This window comes from Homo sapiens, chromosome 9, assembly GCF_000001405.40.
Source record: "Homo sapiens chromosome 9, GRCh38.p14 Primary Assembly".
Classification (NCBI taxonomy): Eukaryota; Metazoa; Chordata; class Mammalia; order Primates; family Hominidae; genus Homo; species Homo sapiens.
Window position 1 is genome coordinate 27,340,621 of NC_000009.12, and position 24,644 is coordinate 27,365,264.

The following is a 24,644-nucleotide window of genomic DNA, read 5'->3' on the forward strand; positions in this document are numbered from 1 at the left end:
TCTTGCTCTGTGGATCCACCTACCATGTCCTTCCCACCTGTATCAACCTGGCTGATGCACTGATGGGACAGGGGATCCAACCTGATTTCTGCTCAGACTGATGCTACCTGTGATCAAAGGAGCCTGTGATTTCTGCTCAAAGCGACACTGAGATCTCTGACATTTGGCTGCTGCTCCCCGCTCCTTTCCTCCTCTGTTACCCAACTTCTCCAGAGCCCCCATGGAGGTCTGCACAGTTGGCAGGAGTCTGCCTCCCTCCTTCTCATACCCAGCATTTGTCAGCGCAGCTGGATTGGTTTCTGGCAGATGCTGCTGCTGCCCCTTGTTCTGGGATGAGCAAAGGGTGACTGAGTGCACCCACCCGCTTTGAGGAATGAAACAGATTTCAGCATGGCCCAATGCCCCCTGTAGGGTTGTGCAGTTCCTTAAAGGCTGGATGCGGGAGGGCAGGGGAAGGAATTCTCACATTTGCTTCTGTCATGTGGCCTTTCTATCAGGAGTGGGAGGGAAGGCACTGGCCGGTGAAGCAGAGAGTACCGGAAACTCCAGGTTAGGTTGCAGGCACCAGAGTTTTATTTATTCTGACAGAAGCTTAATGGGGGCAACTCTTAATGACATGCAAGAAACGCTGAACAAACGGTTTGTCCTTTTGGAGGGAGTATTCTGAACTTTCAGAGCATGGGTCCCTAAAGGAAGAATTTACCTCCCCTGGGAAAACAAAGGATTCCATAGAAGCCGTTCAGCCTAGCTGAATTCACCACAGGACAGAGCTTGCCATTGCTTAATAAGACCTCTATTGTGTGTCTGATGAAAACATATGGGGAATGTGCTTCCTCAGTGAGCCTGTAATTTAGGAAGTCTGTAGTTTCTAAGCAGTCTCACTCCTTTGGTAGGAACAAAGTGTTATTTTGATGGAGTAAATAGACATGAAACAAAACTAAAATTTTCCTTTTAATACAATGAGATCTCTTGCTAGAAGTTTGACTACCACCTATTGAAACATGTTCTCAAGCTCTCACAGAGAGAAATTTGGTCTCGTGAGAGCCTCAGGAGCTGGTCACCACTTTGTGCCCGACTCTGTCACTGACTCTCAGGTCTATGGGGTGGCCATTATGCTTCCCCTAGAGAGGAACTGAAACTTGGAAAGGTTAGTGACTTGCCCAAGGTTACATGGTTGATACTTGGCAGAGCGAGAATTCAAACCAGGATATCATTTGGATCTTATCAACAGGCCTCGGAATCCTATCTTTTTTTCTATATCAGGGACCAGAAAATGACAGTTCATGGGTCAAATCCAGTCCACACCTGTTTTTGTATGGCCCATAAGCTAAGAGTGGTTTTTACATTTTTTGATAGTTGAAAAAAGAAAGAATATTTTATGACATATGATTATTTTATGAAATTCAAATTTCCATGTCCATAAACAAGTTTTATTGGAGTAAGCCACACCCATTTATGGATGAATGCCTGTGGCTGCTTCTGCACTTCCATGGCAGAGCTGAGCGACTGGGACAGAGCCCGGCATTTAGCATGGGGGTCTTTTCAGAAAAGCTGGCTGACCTCGCGTCGCACCATGCCAATACCATGACCAGTGAGACTCTCTAGTTTTGACCCACATGGTTATAAATGGATCCCCAAGCTGCCTTTCCAAAACTGACCTGGCAATAAATAGTCCAATATTTATTTAATCTATAAATAGTCCAGTCTTCTGTCTTGGGAGAACAATGATGTTACATCAGTAGAAAAACGCTTCTAAAACAAGAGTGGAGTGAACTCTACATGCCTATAGTCCCTTAGAACTAAACCCCTCTCCCTCCCCCTCCCCCTCCGTCTCCCTTTCCCTCGTCTCCCTCTCCCTCTCCCCGGTCTCCCTCTGATGCCACCAAAGTTGTGAAAGCCAAGGCTGGACTGTACTGCCGCCATCTTGGCTCACCGCAACCTCCCTGCCTGATTCTCCTGCCTCAGCCTGCAGAGTGCCTGGGATTGCAGGCGCGCGCCGCCACACCTGACTGGTTTTTGCATTTTTTGGTGGAGACGGGGTTTCGCCTTGTTGGCCGGGCTGGTCTCCAGCTCCTGACCACGAGTGATCTGCCTGCCTCGGCCTCCCGAGGTGCCGGGATTGCAGATGGAGTCTCGCTCACTCAGTGCTCAATGTTGCCCAGGCTGGAGTGCAGTGGCCTGATCTCCGCTCGCTACAACCTCCACCTCCCAGCCGCCTGCCTTGGCCTCCCAAAGTGCCGAGATTGCAGCCTCTGCCCGGCCGCCACCCCGTCTGGGAAGTGAGGAGCGTCTCTGCCTGGCCACCCATCGTCTGGGAAGTGAGGAGCCCCTCTGCCCGGCCGCCACCCCGTCTGGGAGGTATACCCAACAGCTCATTGAGAACGGGCCATGATGACGATGGTGGTTTTGTAGAATAGAAAAGGGGGAAATGTGGGGAAAAGAGATCAGATTGTTACTGTGTCGGTGTAGAAAGAAGTAGACATGGGAGACTCCATTTTGTTCTGTACTAAGAAAAAGTCTTCTGCCTTGGGATGCTGTTAATCTATAACTTTACCCCCAACCCCGTGCTCTCTGAAACATGTGCTGTGTCCACTCAGGGTTAAATGGATTAAGGGTGGTGCAAGATGTGCTTTGTTAAACAGATGCTTGAAAGCAGCATGCTCCTTAAGAGTCATCACCACTCCCTAATCTCAAGTACCCAGGGACACAAACACTGCGGAAGGCCGCGGGGTCCTCTGTCTAGGAAAACCAGAGACCCTTGTTCACATGTTTATCTGCTGACCTTCCCTCCACTATTGTCCTATGACCCTGCCAAATCCCCCTCTCCGAGAAACACCCAAGAATGCTCAATAAATACTAAAAAAAAAAAAAAAAAAAAAAGAACTAAACCTCTTTGGCTTTCAGAGTATGAGAGGAGACAAGTCCTTTTCTTTCCTTATTCTCAGACTCCCAGTGAATGATCCATGAAAACAATATGAATTTTACATACAGGAAATGTACTTAATAAGGCAAAAGCATTTTTACTGTTAGGGCTCCTTCCTCACCTGTTCGTCTTTTATTATGAGGCTGGAATTTTAGCCTTTTTTTTTTTTTTTTTTTAGCAGTACAGGGCATTTTATGCTACTGTTGTTACACTGCGGTTTGCTCTCAATATAAGAGGGAAATTGTGGAATGCATTGAAAATTGGTAGCAGCACTGGTTCAGTTCAAGAGAAATAAAGCAAGATATCCTTTTACTTCACGTAATTTTTGTTCCCCATCCTGGCCTCACTTGCAAATCCTAAAGACCCAATTCATATGTGAAGAAACAACAACAAAAACAAAAGCCATAGGTACCAAGATACAGAGTTTGAAGCTAGATAGATGATGGTAATGGTTGCATGACAATGTGAGTGCATTTAATGCCACTGAACTGTACACTTAAAAATAGTTAAGACACTAAATTTCCTTATGTGTATTTTACCACAATTAAAAAAATTTAGAAAGGAAAAAAAAAACATAGCTATCCATTTTAGAAAAAAAATTCAAAAGCTTCAAGGAAGAAGATTTTTACACATAAGGCCATTAGTGAAACGAAACAAAAATCCTCATAGGAGTTTTGAAAGATTTGAGGCTTTATGGGGACAAATGAGCATTAGTGCATGTTCATGTGGGTGCTTGTGTGTGTAATGTGTCTCCAAGAAAACATCCATGCCCAACTAATTCAGTTCCCTCTGTTATTGCTGTCAGTATTAGAAAAATGAGAATTATTCCATTTAGAATAATCTCCTTCTTTTAATGCAAAATGCCAAGTACCGTTGCACTAGCAACAAAAAACAAAATAGAGTAACTATGTCTGAGAACCTATTATAACTCCGACATCTTACACCAGTGACACCAAAGGGAAAAAACACACCCACTGAGCACCTATGAAGATTCCTCTGCAGTATACGTACAAAGGCTGTCGTAGCCGTCAGGGAAAGAGTGAGTTCCAGAGAAAGAGGAAACCACAATAGAAACCTTGAATTAAAAATGGAATTTAGATATGGGCAAGAGTGCCAACCTTAATGAAAAGTCTTCTTCTTCAATCATTAGGCTGTAAAATTAAAGCTGGATGTGGATGTGGTCTAATGTCTACTTTGATTCTTGTGTATTTGCCAATGCTCTCCAAAGGTGAATAAGATGAAATCCCTTCTGGATGTGCTGTGAGCACTCTGGTCCTTTCCACCAGTTTCCCAGAGCATAGGTGCCCCACAGTGCGGTTTCTGAAGGCTCTACTGTTTGGAATAGGCACATACAATAACAAAGCTGCTTACAGTCTCGGCCTGGCCGCGACAGGGTCAACAACCTAAATGCCAACTGGCGATGACACTGGTCGTGTCAAGTGAAGCCAATGACAAAGGAACAGCCATGCTCTGTCTCTTGGTGCCCACAGCAATACAGTCACTGTAGGCCAGCAATGGTGATCCAGTATGCAGCAGCATGGGGTGAAGCTGACATCAACCCAATAAATGACCACTGTCTTGTCGTCTTCACTGAAATGGTGCATATGCCTCCCCCAAGCCCACACACAAACACTTTGCTTCATATGCTTGAAAGTTGTGGGCTTTCAGGACAAGGGAAAACTAAAAATTGCTCTCTAAATGTGGGCACTGTGGATGTGTTGCCAGGTTGTAATGGGTCAGAACTGCTCCTGCCCACCATAGGCCCTGTATGAACCATGACTGCAAACAGATGATCCCTAAGCAAACTGTACTCCCAGAAGGGGTTTTTAAAAAATCTACAGATTTTTAAATCTGTAGATTTAAAAATAAAATAAAATACAAGTACTGCTCTAAGTAGTTGCCATCATTTAAAACTCTGGAGAATTCACCTAAAATGCTAGAGTTCCAAATTCTTCTGATTTGGAAGCACTGGGCCTCTATGCCCGCCCTGAAACTATTAGTTGAGTTGCATGGTGGTTGCCCCCACAGCTTCCTATTTCATGCTACTCGCCTGTTAACTGATATTTGTTACCTGCCTGACTCTGTTGACTTTGGCTTTGGATCTTCTGATCCATAGTCATCAAACTCCTTGAGGGCAGTAGTCATATCTCTTGAGCTACAGCAGCACCTAGGATTGGCTCCTTACTCCTGTTTCACCTGAGTCGCTCAACTATGTGCACTATGTGTATTTCATGGGCTCAGGTATCTAAAGTGACTTGACTGTGGTCCCACAGCACACACTGCTGAGACAGGGAGAGAACTGGGCTCGTGGAGCTGGAGGCCCTTGGAAATTATCTAGCTGCTGCAGATCATCAGAATCTAGTTGAGTAAGTAAGCCTTTGGGCAAAAATCCACCTCAAATTAGTTTCCTCAGCAAATACCATGCTATAATTTGAATGTTGGTGTCTTCCAAAATTCATGCTGGAACCTAATGCCCAGTGTAATAGTATTAAGAGGTGGGGCCTTTTGGGAAGTGACTAAGTGATGAGGATCCACCCTCATGAATGGGATTAGTGTCCTTATAAAAGAGACCTGATGGGGGGCTTCCTTGCCCTTCTGCCATGTGAGAATGCAGTGAGAAGGCACCATCTTTCAGGCAGAGAGCAAACCCTTATTGGATACCAAACCCTTATTGGATACTAGCACCTTGATGTAGGACTTCCCAGCCTCCAGAACTGTGAGCAGTGCATTTCTGTTGTTTATAAATTACCCAGCCAGAGGCATTGTGTTATAGCAGCCCGAATGGTCTAGGAAAGGCTGTATCTGGGTTTTGGAATCAGACCGTATGTGCTCAATCTTGGCTCCACAGAGCTGTGTGACATTGGACAAGTTATTTCACCTCTGCATCTGATTTTCTTCCTTTTTATAATGAAGATAAACAGTATTTATCTCATAGACTTGTGTGCAGATTGAATGACGTAACACATAAACACATTTCCTACAGCACTTGGCTCATAGTTTTACTTAAAAGTCTTCCCTATTATTATATCCTCTGAAGCTGAACAAATCAAATGAAAAAATATATATAGTTATTACAGGCCATTTAAAGTTCTTCTATATGAAAATATTTTAATAAGACGTGGACATAAATCTCTACCATTAATCTCTATTTTAAAATTATACCATTAGAGGCCGGGTGCGGTGGCTCATGCCTATAATCCCAGCACTTTGGGAGGTCGAGGTGGATGGATCACTTGAGGTCAGAAGTTCAAGACCAGCCTGGCCAACATGGTGAAACCCTGTCTCTACTAAAAATACAAAAAATTAGCCAGTTGTGGTGGCACGCACCTGTAGTCCCAGCTACTCGGGAGTCTGAGGTGGGAGAATTGCTTGAACCCAGGAGGTGGAGGTTGCAGTGAGCCAAGATCATGCCACTGCACTCCAGCCTGGGTAACAGAGCAAGACTCTATCTCAAAATAAAATAAAATAAACAGAATTATACTATTAGAAATAAACAAAGTAAAAGGAAAGGCAGTGACAATCTATGTTATTCTGGATCCACAACATGCCAGAACTGGAGGGAATCTAAACCTATCCTAATGGATTTAAAACTTATTTTAGCAGCAGAAACCATTTCTTTTAATGTGGTCTTACATACATGCCATTCACGAGAGAGATGTTGCAGCTCAGGTTAGGTGAAGTCCCTGAACTAGGTTCCAGCTTCACCCAGCAAATTATAGAACCTGTGTGCTAAGGGCCACAGTTTGGTAACTGCTGATCTTGGCTATGCCTTTTTATTTTTACCAGTGGGAAAAGTAAGACCTTTCATATGCCTGCACATAGAAGCAGGCTCACACTGAGGACCAAGCCTGGCCTATCACTGTATCCTCAGCACCCAGCCATGTTCCTGGAACGTAGCGCCCTGGTGATACTGGGGTTTGCATAATGGGTGCCATAGCACAGGTGAGGTGCCAGGCTTCTGAAGTGCAGTCTTGGGGGATGGACTTCTAGGGTAGGGTGGTGATCGCTGCCAGCAGGGGGTAACAAAAACACCATTAGGTCTAGCCAAGGTGTTGCGTGTAGGATGGATTCTGGGAGAAGGTATAGGGTGGAGGTAAGCAAGTATAAGCTTACTGACTTACCCAGAGCAACTGCCAGTCCTACAAGCTCCATTCATGGCAAATGCCCTAGGCAGGTGTACCATTTTTTATCTTTCACACTGTATTTTTACTGTACTGTTTCTACATTTAGATACACAAATACTTACCATTATGTTACAGTTGCCTACAGTATTCATTATAGTAACATGCTGTACAGGTTTATAGCCTAGGAGCAATAGGCTATACCACATAGCCTAGGTGTGTAGTAGCTACACCATCTATTTTTATGTAAGTATACTCTATGATCTTCACATTATGGCAAAGTTGCCTAAAGACACATTTCTCAGAATGTATTCCCATCATTATGTGACACATGACTGTACTTCTGTAGAAAGACCAGGTTTCTGGAGTGGTGGAGTGGTGGAGGGCAAGTTACTGTGAATTGAAAGGGAAGTGAGAAAGTGTAGATAGTTGGCTAGACTGGCTTCTTTCAAGGAAGGGGAGGAAGAAGAAACCACACTGAGGTAATAGGAGTTTTCACGGAGTCAGATTTCTTAAGCAATGAGCACTTTGGAGAGGTAGCAGACTTGTGCTGTAGGATGTAGAAAATGGGAAAAGAAAGAGAAATGCAGAGGTCAAAGAAAAACATCACCAGTTTAAAAATGTTGGTCTCTGTGGTGGTTTAAAAATATTTTAAAATTATTTAACATATGAAGAATTATTTAACATTTCTCTCTTCAAGAAATATGGCCAGGCCTGGTGGCTCACACCTGTAATCCCAGCACTTTGGGAGGCTGAGGCAGGAGGATCACTTGAGTTCAGGAGTTCCAGACCAGCCTGGCCAACATGGTGAAACCCCATCTCTACTAAAAATAAAAAAATTATCCGGGCATAGTAGCATGCACCTCTCATTCCAGCTGCTCTGGAGGCTGAGGCAGGAGAATCGCTTGAACCAGGGAGGTGGAGGTTGCAGTGAGCCGAGATCATGCCACTGCACTCCAGTGTGGGTGACAGAGCAAGACTCCATCTCAAAATAAAAAAAAAAAAAGAAAGAAAGAAATAGACCTTAATTTTCCTTTAGTGTGGGCTGGACTTAGTAACCTACTTCTAATGAATGGAAAGTGGGAAGAAGGTTGGGTTATCACTTCTGACTCTAGTCTGTAGAAGATACATGGTGATTTCCATCTTGGTTGCCCTCTCTGATATCAGGGCATTCTGGGAGTAGCCAGCAGAAACCTAACGTTTCAAATGAAAGGTGTTTGTCTCTGAGAAGCGGACAATTAGGCCTAGACTTGCAGGATGAGCAGGACTTAAGCTGAGGACATGGAAGCCAAAGGAGTTGTACATACAATGGCCTGGGGGTGAGAGGACATGGCCCATTCAAAGAACTCTGGGAAGTTCCCTATGGAGCTATCTGCATATCTCTTTCTTCTTCCAGATCTGCCTCCAGGCATTATTCTTGTCTATTGGTCCATTTACACTTAGATGCACAATGTAATAGGACTCTATTAGCACCAACATCTTGGAATTAATACTAATTAGTATTATGTTCCAGTACCACATTATAGCTTAACTGGCTTTGCTGGTGGTTTGTATATCTGACCTTTATGTATAAAATTGTTTCATAGGAGGAAGTGCTCCTGAGACCACACAAGTGACCACACAAGTCCCTAGGCTAGGTACTGCCTGTAACCTGCCTTATCTTCATGCCTTTATTGTGGTGGGACAGGTGGGTGGTGGGAGAAAATATAATGTTATGTTTCAATAAATAAAACCTTCCTTCATTCAAACCCCAAGTTAATACTCGCTTGACATTTTTGGAGCCAAAGAATCTAATCTTATCTGGCCGGGAAATTTAAACTAGTCTAGACCACACATAGCAGCCAAAATTTGGCAGGCTTATATATGGGCATCAAGCCATACTGACTATTTACATTTTCATGTAAATGCTCATGAAGACGAATTAATCCCTGCTGTGACTGACATCCTGCAGCAATTTCCAACACTGCAGAGAACATTAAAAAAATAAAAAAGTACAATTACTATTTGGTGTCTCTGACCAACAGCTCCCCTAAGATACTGAGCAGCTTCCTGAGGTGGAGGTTCTGATGGGAAATCTAGGGAGAAATGTTGAGCAGAAGGTACTGAGTTTTATTTATTCCTATCAATAAAGTAGGAGAGAAGTGGCTTAGCAAAGAGAAGCAACCATACTAGGGGGCTTAAACAATGAACGGAAATGCCTCATGTGGCAGCATGGAGACAATGTGAACACATCTGGCAGCTCTTTGTGGAGGGAGTGGTTGTTAAGAGTGGGTTATAAAAAGTAGCTCTTGAAGGTAGAGCCTCTGGCTCAGTGGTGTCTGAGAGAATGTCCCACAATGATGAAAATGTTCAGTATCTGTGATATCCAATACAATAGCCACTAGACATGTGGCTTTTGAGCACTTAACATGTGGCTAGTAAGGCTAAGAAACTAATTTTTAATTTAATGTTAATCTCAGTAGTCACAAGTGGTTGGAAAAGCCTTTTCAAGTATAAAGTTTGATTTTTCTGATTAGAAAAGTGACACATGTTTGTGACAGAAAACTTAGAAAGCCCCAAAAAGTATATACCAAAAAAAAAAAAAAAAAAGCATTATCTATAGTAATACCAAGAGAGAACCACTGTTGGCACTTTTTGCTCTATTTCCTTTATCATCTGTGGACATATGATTAGTGATTTTCCAGTACAGTTTTGTATCCTGCTTTTATTACTTAATATTATATGCTAGCAATTTTCCCATGAGAGACATCTTCAACTATAATTGATCATATTTTAGGCCCTGAAACAAATCAGACCACATCTCATCTCTGACCAAATTAGAAACAAAGAGAAACCCTAAAACAAAAATGAACCACCCAACACCCTATAAACTAGAAGCAAAAGTTCTCTGGACATCAACAAGGGATGAATAAATAGGACTGGCAGAGACATGTGGCTATTTTTGCCACATCCCCAGTTACCCAGCATAAGGCAATTCATTGGAAATAATCATGTTTCTTTGCTATTTTTCCAATTGACACTTTAGAATACATCTGCCAAGTCTCCTAAAATGATATCTGGCAGGCCCTCCCACTAATCTCTGAGCCTTTGCATTATCCTGAACAACCACCAACAGCCGATGCCACCCTGGACACACATATACTTGTCATCTGAACTGGCAAAGCCCCATGAATGCACACTCCAGCTACTCTTGGCAACATGTACACCCCCTCTGCCCCTCTGCTGCCATGGTGGGCTTTTTTTTTTTTTTTTTTTAAGACGAAGTCTCGCTGTTGTGCCCCAGGCTGGAGTGTGATGGCACGATCTCGGCTCACTGCAACCTCCGCCTCCTGGGTTCAAGCAATTCTCCTGCCTCAGCCTCCTGAGTAGCTGGGATTATGGGCACCTGACACCACGCCTGGCTAATTTTTGTATTTTTAGTAGAGATGGGGTTTCACCATTTTGGCCAGGCTGGTCTGGAACTCCTGACCTCAGGTGATCCACCCGCCTAGGCCTCCCAAAGTGTTGGGATTACAGGCGTGAGCCACCACGCCTGGCCCACAGTGGGCTTTAATCCATGAAGGGCTCTCTAAGCAAAGAGAAACGGTTGTCTTGGATGAAAGATGACAGGGCTGCTGACACATCATATCAGTAGTAATCCCAGTAGGTCAGTAATCTTAGTAGTGACCCATCAGTAATCTCTGTAGGTCAGGCTGGGAGGATTCTAGGGATGATGTCTTTTACAGGTGGGGAAACTGAGGCTCAGAGCCATTACATGCCTTGCCCCATGTGGTAACTAATGTGGTAGCATAATAGTGGAAATGCCATTGTAAAGGCCAAACTGTCAGCTTCACAGGCTGCAGCTCTTTCTTCTATAATGGCTGAGTCCACATCAAGCCTTCTGGCTGAAGGCCAAGGAAGCCGCCTGACAAGAAGCAACCCAGAGGCCTCTGTACAGATGATGTTTCAAAAGAAAAGGTCCTTTCAAAAGCCCCACAATGGCTCTTCATTGCTGGCTACTTTAGGGAGTAGCTCTGGCTCATGCGAGAGGTTCTGCTTCTTTTCACAGTCCTGACTTGATCTTACCATTGCAGGCCAACCTTGGCTGCTGCACTCACCCAAGCAACTCTGAGAGAAGTGTATGTGTGGCCTGGCTACCTCTTAGGGCAACATGAGGTCAGTGTATTCTGGGGCCTGGATAGGCTTGTGGCTGGGCCTTTATGAGACAAGGCTTTCCAAATCTTTGGTCTTCAAATTGTTCTAAAAAGCACCCGTTTTTAGAGGATAGTTTTGGTGGTAGAGCCTACCATAAATCTCAATCATTAGCCAAGAGGCACCTACACACTGGGGGTGGGACATGCACTTTGGTGTGACAAAATGGCAGTGATAAGGGATGGAGAGGAATGTGGTTCAGATGTTGAGAAACTGCCCATCACATCTGCTGGAAATAATAGTAACAAGTCTGGCCAGGTACCATCTGTAATCCCAGCACTTTGGGAGGTCAAGGCAGAAGGATCACTTGAGCTCAGGAGTTCCAGACCAGCCTGGGAAACGTAGTGAGACCCTGTCTCTACAAAAAATTTAAAAATTAGCCAGGTGTGGTGACATGTGTTTGTAGCCCCAGCTACTTAGGAGGCTGAGGTGGGAGGATCACTTGAGCCCAGGAGGCTAGAGGATGCAGTGAGCCATGATCACACCAGCCTGGGTGACAGAGTGAGACCCTGTCTCAAAAAAAAAAAAAAAAAAAAGTAACAAGTGTGAGGAGATGAAATAATATATGTCAAGAGGAACTAACAGATTATCTGGAACTGAAGAAATGAAGTTATTAATTATTTCTTGAAAATGCTTGTGCGTCATGCACATGGTAAGAATTCCACGAAGGGGTGTCTGTCATATGATGATGTGGGAGGATGAGGAGCAACAATGAAAAGGACTGCACTTCCTGTGTGTGTGTGAAGCCCTCCCATATGGAGTTTCACTTCCTTCCCACCTCCCTCTCCATGCGGCAGTGGTGGCTGTGTGGTTTGAGGCCAGGGTGGAGGCATGAGGAAAATAGAAAAATCTAGAGACACATCACATCACAAAGATGAGCAGTGCTGCCCAGAGTGTGTTCCATGGATCATGATATCTCTAAGATGTCAATGAGTGATAGCAAAAGAAAAAAGTCCAGTAGCCAAATGCAGTTAAATTGGGCGGGCTACACAAAATTGAACAAGTTTCTTTACTGGATACCTTCTCAAAGGCTTTGATATGCTATTGTACACTGTAAATCTTCAAGGGTGGAGACGATGTAGTATTTTGTAAACTCATTTGACCACAGAAGGAAGTCTGTTTTCACTGACCATCACTCAGGACTGGCATTTTGAGGAGCTCTCTTGGCAAACACTGATCTTCAGATTTTTCTCCTTTTTGCTTTACTTCCCCACCCCACTGAGCTAACTCCCAATCCTAGAGGAGAAGAGATGAAGTGCTAAAAATGGTAATTCTCACATTTGAGGGTAATTGTCATCTAGGGTCTTTTCCCTCAACGTGTGGTCTGGGAACCAGCAGCATCGATATCATCTGGGAGCAAAATGAACATTCTCGAGTCTCCTCCTCTCAGATGTACTGAATCAGAACTTGCATTTCAGCAAGATCCCTGGTGATTCACATGCACATTAAAGTTTGAGATGCAGACTGAGGGTGCTTGGTACTAGGCACTAATCTTAATAATTCTGATTTAGTGTATCTGGGGTGAGGCCCAAGAATGTACTTATGAAGTACTTCCTCCAGGAGATTCTGATGCACGTGTGTGTGTGTGGACTCCTGAGAAACCCCTATGGTCCAAGCACCCTGCTATAAGGTAACAGAACAGCTCTGTGGTAACATTGGTTTTCACAGCAGCAGCTCTACAAGGTAGGTGGTGGTATAATCACTTTCATTGTTAGAAACAAGAAAATGGAGCCTTGGAGAGAGAATGAGAAGGTCCTGGACCAAGGTCACCCAGGGGTTAGCAGGTGCATTAGGGTAAACAAGTCCCCTCCTGTCTGTCCTCCCCACCTCACGAATCTCTGTCCTCCCCCTGCCCTAATCAGCTCTTCATTCACAACTACTGCATTGCTAACAGCCCTCTCTGAGTCTGCTTTTGTTTTCAGTGAAAGGCCAACAAAACACTGCGGGCTATTCGTGCTTGCTAATGATAATTCTGATTAGCTTAATTGTGTCAGCTGACTCCCTGGCAGCCAAGGGCCAACAGCAGCCTGCTTATTCAATCAGGGCCTGGCCCATTTTCTAATTATCAGCATCATTTGGGCTGTTTCCTCCAACAAGGAACTTGCTTCAGTTCAAGTTATCTTCAGCTGTTGCATTTACATGAGCAATGGATGATCTGTCACGTCTGTGTCTGTGTCAGTGTGCCAGGCTCCCCCTCCCTGCTGGAGACCAAGTGAAATGGCATGTGTTTGCCTGGGTTCCCAGGCTGCCAGCCATAGCGGCTGAACAGCAGGTCCCAATGGGAGCCATGAGGCAAGCTCTGGGGGTGGATGGATGTGCTGGTCTTCACCAGGCTAGCCAGGGTGACCTCTTCCCAGCTTCTGAATTCCAAACTGTATTCCCACTCAGAGGCCTGATAGGGTGACCAACCGTCCTAGTTTGACAGACACCAAGAGTTTTCCTAGGACATGAGAATTTCACTGCTAAAACAGAGAGGGTTGGTTATCCTTTGCCTGACACACCAGGGCACAAAAGCAGTGTGAGAGGATTCAAGATTTCCTGGGTGATCTATCTGGAATTTGGAACAGAGAATGACTAAGAGTTGAGGCCTCGTCTTTCTCTGTGAGACCTAAAGCTTATGATGCATCCCTGCTCTCTGTCTTATTTTGCTTTTAATGTCTATTGCTAATCTGACAGGATGAAGCATTAGTCCCAACATGGAAATGGGTAAGTGGAGGTCTGCATGCATGTTCTGAGATAAGGGGCGTATTGAAGAGAGTGACCAGTGTGTAATCCCTTTGAATGGAGGTGCATCATCCTTAAAGTACTCTCCCCAATTCAAAAACATATTAAGCATTTATTAGGTACCAGGAACCCTAAGCAATGCAGGAATATGTCCTTTATATTCCCAGCCCTCAAAGAGTTGACAATCCCATGGGAGTGACTGATACAAATACAATTAACTACATTTGCTAGGAGTCTACCTAGGGAATCAATCGTTAAGACAGAAAAGAGGTCATGGGAGCTAGGGAAGACAGAATTCAGGAACATCCACTAACTACAGCCCAGCTACTGTTACAGTCATTGTCTCACTTAGCTAACATTTCTTAAGCACTTCCACGTGACTAACCCATTTAATTTTTATAACTCTTATTATTATACCCATGCTATGGATGAGGAAAATGAAGCTTTGAAAAGCCATATATCTTGCTCAAGTTTGCACGTTAGTAAATGCAGGGTCCAGGGTTGGAACCCACAGAGTCTAAGACTTTTCTTAGGCACTGTATGATACTGACTCTCCTACCCCAGTAGGGTGCTGCATGGATCCTCAGCACAACCTGTGTGGTAGATACTCAGTCCACGTGAGACAAAAGCAACAAAGAGATGTGTGGCTGTGCATGGTGGAGGCAAGGCAGAGGGAAAGATGAGGTGGTGGGGGGGTCTCAGAGTTCCATACTGTGGAATCCCAAGGCATGACACCAAGAATGTCCCACCGGTGGCGTGGGAACTCTGGGAATGCCAATGTTCTAAGGGAAACTGGCTGGACAAATGCTGCCCTTCTGGCCCCAGCTGCATTCAATTCTAAAAAATGTACAACTAGAATGTGAAGCCAAATGCCTGACTCCTTCATCATCCTTTGAGGGTCAAAAATGGGTGACATTTATTATTTTATATTTTTCAGACTGTATTGTAAATTTCTTGAGAGCATAGTTTTTTTCTTTTTCTTCTTTTTTTTTTTTTTTGAGACGGAGTCTCGCTCTTTTGCCCAGGCCGGACTGCAGTGGCGTGATCTCGGCTCACTGCAAGCTCTGCCTCCCGGGTTCACGCCATTCTCCTGCCTCAGCCTCCCGAGTGGCTGGGACTACAGGCACCCGCCACCGTGCCTGGCTAATTTTTTTTTGTATTTTTCGTAGAGACGGGGTTTCACCGTGTTAGCCAGGATGGTCTCGATCTCCTGACCTCGTGATCTGCCTGCCTCGAGAGCATAGATTTTTTATGCACATAGAATATCTGAGCAACTTGAGTTGTATATATAGAGTATCAATATATGCAAATCAAATAAAAATGTGTTGACTTGACATGTTATGCCTGATTTGAATAGGTGCATTGCAACAGTATTAGCAGTTAGGCATCCTAGCACTGTCAACTGTTGAAATGGTCATTTCGGCAATAGCAATCCACAAGCCATAAACAATCTACTCTTAATGGACACTGCATGTGCTAAGTATCCAGAGCCTGATATTATATGATTCGCCTCAGAAACATTCTTAATATCTATTTCTGTTCCTTTATAGGGTTTGGTTAGTGTAAAACAAATATATATGTTCAGACAATTAAGCATTTAAAAAGTATGAATATTTACAAGCATTAAAATGAATTTCCCTATAATTATAATTAACACATAAATGTAGGAAGTATACTATTGCAAGCAAGATTTAAAGAAATATAAACTTCTGGGGAAAAAAACCTGGTACCTTTCTTGCTCAATTAAACTGTTAAAAATGTCTGGTTAACCTAATTTTCTCCCAGGCCCCCAAAGAGGCCCTTGTCTAGGATATTGACATGTTTGAGGCCATTCTGTGACTCTGAGACTTCAAGTTAGTTCCTGGCACTGCCTTGGAGCCCTTTCTTCAATTATAGAAAATAACTGAGTTTTCTGATAGCAAAGAAAGCCTTTCTCTACTTGATAACTTACACTCAGCTTTTTCCTACAATGTTGTCTTTATGCTTTCAGGCATAAAGGAGAAATTGACTTTCAGCTCTGTCGTGGTGTTTCTGATCCCTTAGCTCTGTGAAACCAAAAGTGTGAGTGCTTCCACAGCCTCTTCCTTCTTGTGGGCCTTTGGAGAAGTTATTTTCCATTGACCTGAACATGACTATAGAAGAGAACTGAACTGAAACCATCCAGGAGATTGCAGTGGTTTCTTCTGGGTCTTCATTTACGTGGCCCTTGTCCATCTTTCCTCTCTGTCCTTGACATTTTCTGAAATTAACTTTATCAATTGTTTCTAGTCTTAACTCCCTTGAGCTGTTTGCACAACCTTATCTTCCCATAGTGGCTGTTTACCCAAAACAGCCTTTATAAAACTCAGCCATCGATGAATTCTTTCCATACTATTTGTCCAACTGCATTCAGAGACAACTCGGTTCCTGCCCCTGAGAGCCTTCTAGAAATCTCTTGTGAAAGAAAATGAAGAAAATAGGCTCTTTTTAAAGTAAAGATGTGAGCCATCTCAAGTGTAACCCAAAAAGTCTTGCTTTGTTCCAGGACTACTGAGTAATGCAAATATATATATATATATATATATATGTGTTTTTTTTTTTGCCATATATTCTCACAGCAGAATAATAAATTTCAAGGTGAAAAACACTAAAGGTGATATGTGAAATTCACCATCTTCTTTGCCAGGTACAGGTACTGTACTGTATTAAACATATCTTTTATTTTTTGTGTTTCGATTCTCTAACATCAAAGGGGCCTTGTTGATCCTGGAGGGACTGCCCCTCCCAGAGCTAGCCAATTCCTAGTGATGGTAAACAATTTGCGCTCAAGCTGTTTACACAACAACCAATACAAACCAATCCTGCAGAGCCTGCACCCCAAATACCTCCTCCATCAGGGTCTCACACTAACCACCCCAGGCCAAGGTATCAGATAACTAGGAATAACCCCTAGGCTCCAGAGATTATTCAAATTAGCCAACCCTAAACCTGCTTACCCTGTCTGGCCCTTTCCTTCCCATGAAAACCATGGTGAAGGTTCTTGCTCAAGCTTTCTCTGCTCCCTCAGTCTCCGGACTAACCTGGGGCTTTCCCATGTGCTCTCTTGTGGCGTGGCATGGCTCTTTCTCTTGGGATGAGTATAACAAATTCTCTTTTCAATGACAATCATCTGATCTGTTAGCTTTACCATACCTAAATAATAATAAAACCTGGCCAGGCATGGTGGCTCACACCTGTAATCCCAGCACTTTGGGAGAACAAGGGTGGAGAATTGCTTGAAGCCAGCAGTTTGAGACAAGCCTAGTCAACATAATGAGATCCCATCGCTACAAAAAAAAAAAAAAAAAAAAAAAAAAAAAAAAATAGCCATGCCAGGCTATAGTCCCAGCTACTTGGGAGGCTGAGGTGGGAGGAGTGCTTGAACCTAGGAGTTGAAGGTGAGCTATGGTTAGCTATGATCTTGCCATTGCACTCCAGACTGGGAGACAGAGTGAGACCCTGTCTCAAAGAAAAAATAAAAATAATAAAACCTGTGTTTTAAAATAGGTACATAAAGAGAAAGGGATAAAGGGTGGCAAAAGAGGACAGCCTGGCCCTAGTACTCTGGTCATTCAAATGAACTTGGATGAAATGTAGTTGCTCTGTCAGTTATATTTAGCAAAACAGTCACCTTGTATTATATGGGGTATAATATAGTACTCAACAGAGCCACTATAAAAAGCTTTGATCAAAGTGTCCACATTGAGATGTTGCATGTTACAAAAGGTGATGAGGTTTTTAGGGGTCCTTGACTTCTGAAGCACAGATTGAGTGCCACTGGAAAGAGAGCTTTTGAAGAAAATAAAAGTAGTCCCCATTCACCTAAACAATAACACTAAGGATTTAATCATATCAAATGTTCTCTATTCTAATATATCCCATTGAAGCTGCATCATGGAAAACTCAATGTGAAAAGCAAAGTCCCTATGAGACTGTATCCTTATTTAGGGCTTAACTTCTGTCACTACCTCTGGAGTAAAAGCTGCCCAAAGGCAGTTTTACCTGACTGTATCCCTAGCAGCTGGCACACAGTAGGTGCTAAATATTTATTTACTGACTGAAGAAATGTTTCTGATAATCTTTGATTAACAGAGTGAGAGATAATATAAAATATCAAAGATGCCCATTTAAGGAATTCAATAAGTGGAAGAATGACTTTGGAATTGAAAGTTAAAGCTACTCCCTCTGATCCAAACTATTATATTCCCACAACATTCTGCCACCTCTTGGAGGGTAATCTCGGACACTTATTTGGTGACAGTGGACATCTTGGCATCTCCTGGCTGTTAGTTGACCACTAAACCCCATTCAATTCTGCAGCCCTCAGGCTAACAGCTAGCCATCAATGAGCATTTTCCAGGGATTGACAATGCGCTCTGACAAATGGCCGAGCTCCTGGGGTGACTTGGATACCATTATTTCATGGTGTCACTTACCAAAGGCTCTAGCTCCTTGCGGTCTATGAGGTTCATCTCTGTGACAAAGTAATAGAAGTGTTTGTAGCAGGTGTTGACATGGGCCTCTGCACCCATCACAATGACCCGGTCGAAGTGGTGGATATAGACGTGGACAAAGACCCGGAAAAGGCGGCACAGGATCTTCTTGCAGATCTGAAGGAAGTTCTTTGGGAAGGGAACACCTAGAGAAGAAAAAAAGAAGAAAGAATGAAACCATGATGGGATAGATCCTTTTCCTCTTTCCTCTAATATGAAAACTGTCTGAGGGCAATGCTACAGGGAGACTGGCACCCGTCACAGGAGTCATAGGGAGTGTGTGTGTGTGGGGGGGGGGGGTTGGTAGCAAACTAGAAAGCACCTTCCACCTCCCCATCAAAGGGAGCAGTTGCTGCGACTACAGCCAACAGTGGCCATATAGGGATGGAGGCCCAGTGTTGTTAGAGCTTCTAATTTTTCAAGATAATTCAGAAATTTAGAGTTATACTTGGACCTGCTGCATTTTTTAAACATTAGCAATTAACTTGAAGTTTTAAAAAGTACCATGAGTCAAAATAAAACATCTCTATAAGTTACACTGGGCCTGCAAGCTACCAGTCTGCAAAGCTTTTCCTGAGGTATACTGTTTCTGAGGTGGGCAAATTCAATAACTTTCACAGATACTTTGCATCACAGATTCCCCCTTCGTCTCTTTGAGGAAGGTAAGAGTTGGGAGGAGGTCTTGTTTTTCATAACACAGAAAGGGTGAGTGGTCATCGAAGTCACTCAGATTTCCCGTCTGATGACCACTACTCCCAGCTCAGTAAAGCAACAAATTGCAGGATCGCAAGCCCACGTCCTTTCTCCATCTCAAACACTGCTTAAGCTGTTTTGTTATTTGCACTGTCCTTAAGTGGTGACATGTTGTAATGGGTTCCTAAGCTAAACAGACATTGTTTGAATTCTTACTCTGCTCCCCTTCCAGCTGTATGACTGTGGGCAAGTTGTTTGACTTTTGGTTTCTCATCTGTAAAAGAGCGGTCATAATAAGGTCTTCCTTAAATGGCTGGGAAGGTATTAATGTAAGATCCTCCTACAGCGCCTAGAACATAGTGAAAGCTTATTAAATTGATAATGTCCTCCCTTTTCTCTACAAGGTAAGGTCTGTTGTTATAAGGAAAAGAATTACCCGGCCAGATGCGGTGGCTCACACCTGTAATTCCAGCACTTTGGGAGGCTGAGGCAGGCAGATTGCCTGAGGTCAGGAGTTTGAGACCAGTCTGGCCAACATGGTGAAACACTATCTCTACTAAAAATACAAAAAAATTAGCCGGGCATGTGGCGTGCGCCTGTAATCCCAGCTACTCAGGAGGCTGAGCCAGGGGAATTGCTTGAACCTGGGAGGTGGAGGTTGCAGTGAGCCAAGATTGCGCCACTGCACTCCAGCCTTGGCGACAGAGTGAGACTCCGTCTCAAACAAACAAACAAACAAAACCAACAACAACAAAAGAATTACCCTTGTCAAAGAAAGGTAGAAATGACCACTAGCCTTTCAGCAAAATTGTAGAACTATGCACGGCACATGCCCCAAGTCCCCAGGAAGCCTGGAGTTTTGCTGTCCTTCCCTCCACAGAAACCTAGCAGCAGCTGTCTGGTGAGACACTGTAATGGGATCACCTGGGACCCCAGGGCAGGATGAGAAGGAACATGTCTGGCAGGCGGCAGTGACAAGATCTGCTTCCCTTGGGTCCCAACACTGATAATGGCTTTTCTTTGAAACAAAGTGGCAACATATCAAATGAACCCAGGGAGAAGTTCTGGCACTGCTTGGGAGCTGACTGCCTGGGCAACAGATGCTGGGATTTGGGGTTGAGGGTGCGGTAGAGCCAAGGAGAAGGTGGAGGGCAGCCACATGCAGAGTTTATGGGCTGCTTTCTCAGTGGAGAGGGGCCTGCAGAACTGCTGTTGCCACACTGGGGGCGGGTCTGGAGTCTTTGAAGCCTGAGTCCCAGAAGTGATGAAATTCCCTCTAAGATAGGTATGTTTCCTTCACATGGGGAGTCCTGTAACCCACCTGGTGACAATGCCAGGAGGTCGACATATGTTGTCTTCACAATGTATCTGTGGAATAGGTTTTATTATTCCTATTAATGTTTCATAGATAAATAGCACTGAAGCTCTTCAGCATGAATTCTGTTGCTAAAAAGTGGTAGGGCTGGGATTTGAACCAAGTCCGCCTGACTCTAAAATCCAAAAAATGAGTATTACAGAGTACAACGCTCTCTCTTCCCAGGTTAGAGGAACCACTCGATTGTCAAGCACAGTGAGGCATCTAAAAGTTACTCTTCAGTGGCACAGAGACATAAATAAGCAAAAGAAAGGGGATGGGGACAGAAGAAGGAGAAGGACAGAAAAATGTCCACAGCATCAGAAGCCACAACCAGAGGCAAGAAGAGGTCAGCTAACATACTCTGCTGCCTTCAACGAGAGTATGTTAGCTTTCTCTGCCCAGGCCTTAAGACCACAGACCTGGGATTAACAGTAAAAAGTAGTATTTACTGAGCTCTTACTATGTTCTAGGAACTGTGCCAAGCCCTATCTATAGATTAGCTAACTGAGCCCTCAGAACAGGCCTTAAATTACTTCCATCTCACAGATAAAGAAATAGATTTGGGACAATTAAGTAGCTGCCCAAGGTCACCCAGCGGGGAAATAGTAGAGGAGAGATTTAGCCAGTTAGTCTGACTCCAAAGTCCACGAGCACTGCTCACGGGCTCTGCACACACTTTTAGCTCTGAAGCCCTTCCTTTCTGGGCAGCTCAAACTCCCTCAAGTGTGCTCCCACTTCTCCTCCCCTGGTTCCAGTCTCATGGAAGCTCACCAGATGCTGGGGGACACAGGGACTTTCAGCTGTGCCAGTTTATCTGTGTGGCCCTTATAGCCAGCCCCCCTACCCTCCACACTGGCTACAGATAAGGCAAAGTTTTGGACACACTGCGGATGCTCATGGCAATTGCTGGCCCCTTTTAGACTGTCTCCAAGCGGCTCTGTTCCCCCCATCTCTGCCACTGCTCAGCTCAGAAATCTCAGCTGTGCCTTCCATTCCATACCTGGTCTCTGACTTGTCTCTGGCCTTGAAGGGGGTTTGCCTCTTGCCTATCCATTTTGGGCTATGGCTTTAGAGTAGTTGGTTTTGCAATCTGGAAGACCTAGTTTAAAATACTAACCTGACTTCTTACTAGCTACAGCTTATGTAGCCTATGTAGCTAGTAAGCAGTAGGGCTAGGATTTTAAACTAGGTCTTTAGTTTAAAATCCAGTCGAGTCTTCATCACTCAACTTTATTATAAAACTAATACACAAATTTACTTTGTAGTGTTTTTATTAGTATCTGTACTGTGCTTGGCACTCAATGGAACTTTGGGAGTAAGTTCAACTTTCATTATTTCCCACCTGAACTCCTCGGGTAGGTAGGACTCCAGGCTCAGAATCTCTTGGCTCTGGCTGCTAAGTCAGGCCCCACTCTTCCACCATTCCCTCCCTCCCATGTAATTCATTCTTCAAAAGCAAAAGCTGCAAACGGTTCAAGTTGAGACATGTTCAGCATGCACTGCAGTCACCCCAGGCCAACTCCAGACACTGCAAAGAGGTTGGGAGCCCTCAGGAGCCTAGGAAACCCCACTGGGTTCTCTGCTGAGTCAAAGACAAAATCCAGCTCACAGAGAGTGGGAAAAGAACAGGAAAGCTACATGCATTTGAAAAATTCTTATATTTATTGATGGTTCAGAGGCCAATTCTACAGTTTGCATACTATTTTCACCCTTTTCCCTTCTGCCTTACAGACGTCCAGATTTGTGTGTGTGTTTTAAATAAACCTCAGAAGGTGGGACTTGGAAGAGGTTATCCCTTCAGATGGCGAGACCTCGGATGTCCACCCCTTCTGCAGACTCTGGAACTTTCTCATTCTATGTAACTAACCTCATGGCAGCAAGATAGAACAAGATACAGCTTGCTGACCCACTCCCTTTCCTGGCAGGCTCCAGAGAGCCAGTTCATGAAAACTGATTGATTTGAGGTGGTTTTCTTTCTTCATGGTGCTGCAAAGAAGTATCCAATCTCCATTACATAACTAAAAGAAAAGGGAATTCCAAATGAGGGCTGATCTGTGTATGTGCAATGTCATTTAATTCCAGTGACACCCTGAGTAGTGGAATTATTATTTCAGGTTTTTCGTTTTTTTGTTTGTTTGTTTTTGTGTTTTTTTGAGATGGAGTCTCGCACTTTCGCCCAGTACAGTGGCAGGATCGTGGCTCACTGCAAGCTCCGCCTCCCAGGTTCATGCCATTCTCCTGCCTCAGCCTCCCAAGTAGCTGGGACTACAGGCGCCCGCCGCCACGCCCGGCTAATTTTTTGTATTTTTAGTAGAGACGGGGTTTCACTGTGTTAGCCAGGATGGTCTCGATCTCCTGACCTCGTGATCTGCCCACCTCAGCCTCCCAAAGTGCTGGGATTATAGGCGTGATCCACCACGCCCGGCTCAGTTTTTTTTTTTTTTAAATGGAAACTGAGGCTTAGCTCAGTTAAATCATTTGCCCCAGGCCACAAGGGTAAAAGGAGATAGAGATTTGGCTTCAAAACTCAGGCTCTTTCTTCAGCATCCTATAGGTTCTATGGTGTCAGGGAAGGTGAGGGACAAGAATACCATTTTATTTTAATTTATTCATTGTTTAAGGACAGGGTTTTACTCTGTCACCCAGGCTGGAGTGCAGTGTCACAATCACAGCTCACTGCAGCCTCAGCCTCCTGGGCCCAAGCAATCCTCCTGCCTCAGCCTTCCAAGTAGCTGAGAATACAGGCATGCGCCACCATGCCTGGCTAACTTTTGTAAATGTTTTTGTGGAGACAAGGTCCCACTATGTTGCCCAGCCTGGTCTCAAGCTCCTGGGCTCAAGCGATCCTCCCACCTCAGCCTCTCAACATGCTGGGATTACACGTGTGAGCTATCTTGTCCAGCCAAAAACACCATTTTATGACCTGCACTTAGCTTGCTTGTGGAAGGAGCTCAAAAAATGTTTGTTTTAAAAGAATCCAGCTCAGCAATTGGAAGAAGAAAGGCAACTGGATCACCTCGAACGGACACTTGGCTAGCTACAATGGCATCCTGGACCTGGGGAGCTGTGCATGGCTGGGTCTGAGCAAAGGGCAACCCGTGTTCTACATGGCACAAGTGACCCAACATCAGGACCATAACCAATGCCCTCCTTCTGCCTCATGAGTACATAAGACACGATAGACCCTCCACTTCAGTATTCCCCATTATGTGTTTTAAAAATCACTATTCTTGAGAGATCCTTGGCTAAAAAGAGAGGATTCTGAGACCAAATATATTGGCAAAAATGCTGTTTTCATAGAGGTTTACAACGTACCCAAGCATAGTAAAGGATCTGAGAATATCTGTAGCAAAAAATCCTATTTAAATCTGGATTCCCCTTTGCTTATAATAGCTATTGATTTAAAACACAGAGTCTGTAACCAGAACTCCTAGGCTTTATTTCTACCTTTACCACTTATTCACAATGTAGCCATATGCAGATGATGTAGTGTCTCCAAGCCTCACTTTCCCCTTAAAGAATATATCCCTTAAAGAAAAATGGGGATATATTAATGTTATTTGTAGCTTAGGGTGTTGTGCAGATTAATTACATAAACATCTAAAAGGTTTAGCTTACTGCCTTGCAGTATTCTATTGTGAATTGTTAGTTTTAGTATCCCATTGACCAAATGGTCTTTGTGACAAACTTTGGGATTAAATTCCTGGCTATTTATTTTCATGATAGCAGTCTTGGCATTAATACATCAATTCTGGACTTGCAAAAAACTTACAGTGGCAGGTACTAAATAAGCCCTGGAGTATAATCTACCTTGCATTATTTTCTACTAGTTTCTCAAACTTATGTCTTATATTGCTGTAAGTTCTCTGAACAAAGGGACTGTGTTATACTTTGATTCCACCTTTGAAAGCACCTGGCACAGGCAAGGCAGGGAATACTTCATCGATCAAAATTGAATCAGAAAAGAGCAGTGGTCTTATTTAGTCAAGATGTGAATCCATCATCTCCTGTTTGGGGGAGGCAAAAAAAAAAAAAGAAAACCCACAGCAGAAAGGATAGCTTTTTGCCAGACTCCTGATATATATAGTCCTGGCATGGAAGGCTGCATGTTGCTTTTGGGGAGA

The 24,644-nt window shown here is 44.0% G+C and overlaps 1 protein-coding gene across 6 annotated transcripts in view, besides 1 other annotated feature; it reads right to left on the minus strand.

The window, feature by feature from the left end:
- Positions 1 to 24,644, minus strand: part of MOB3B (MOB kinase activator 3B) — a 204,606-nt gene that overhangs the window by 15,412 nt on the left and 164,550 nt on the right. For all 6 annotated transcript variants that reach the window (NM_024761.5, XM_047423892.1, XM_047423895.1 and 3 more), the window contains one exon: positions 18,414 to 18,616. In NM_024761.5, coding sequence (NP_079037.3) covers positions 18,414 to 18,616 — 203 coding nt within the window. The remainder of the gene's footprint in view (positions 1 to 18,413; positions 18,617 to 24,644) is intronic.
- Positions 12,992 to 13,973: an enhancer, noted in NCBI's record as "OCT4-NANOG-H3K27ac-H3K4me1 hESC enhancer chr9:27353610-27354591 (GRCh37/hg19 assembly coordinates)". NCBI's record gives its function as "activates a minimal SCP1, AML or CMV promoter by ChIP-STARR-seq in naive H9 embryonic stem cells {active_cell/tissue: H9 hESC(naive)}" and the evidence as "EXISTENCE:reporter gene assay evidence [ECO:0000049][PMID:30033119]".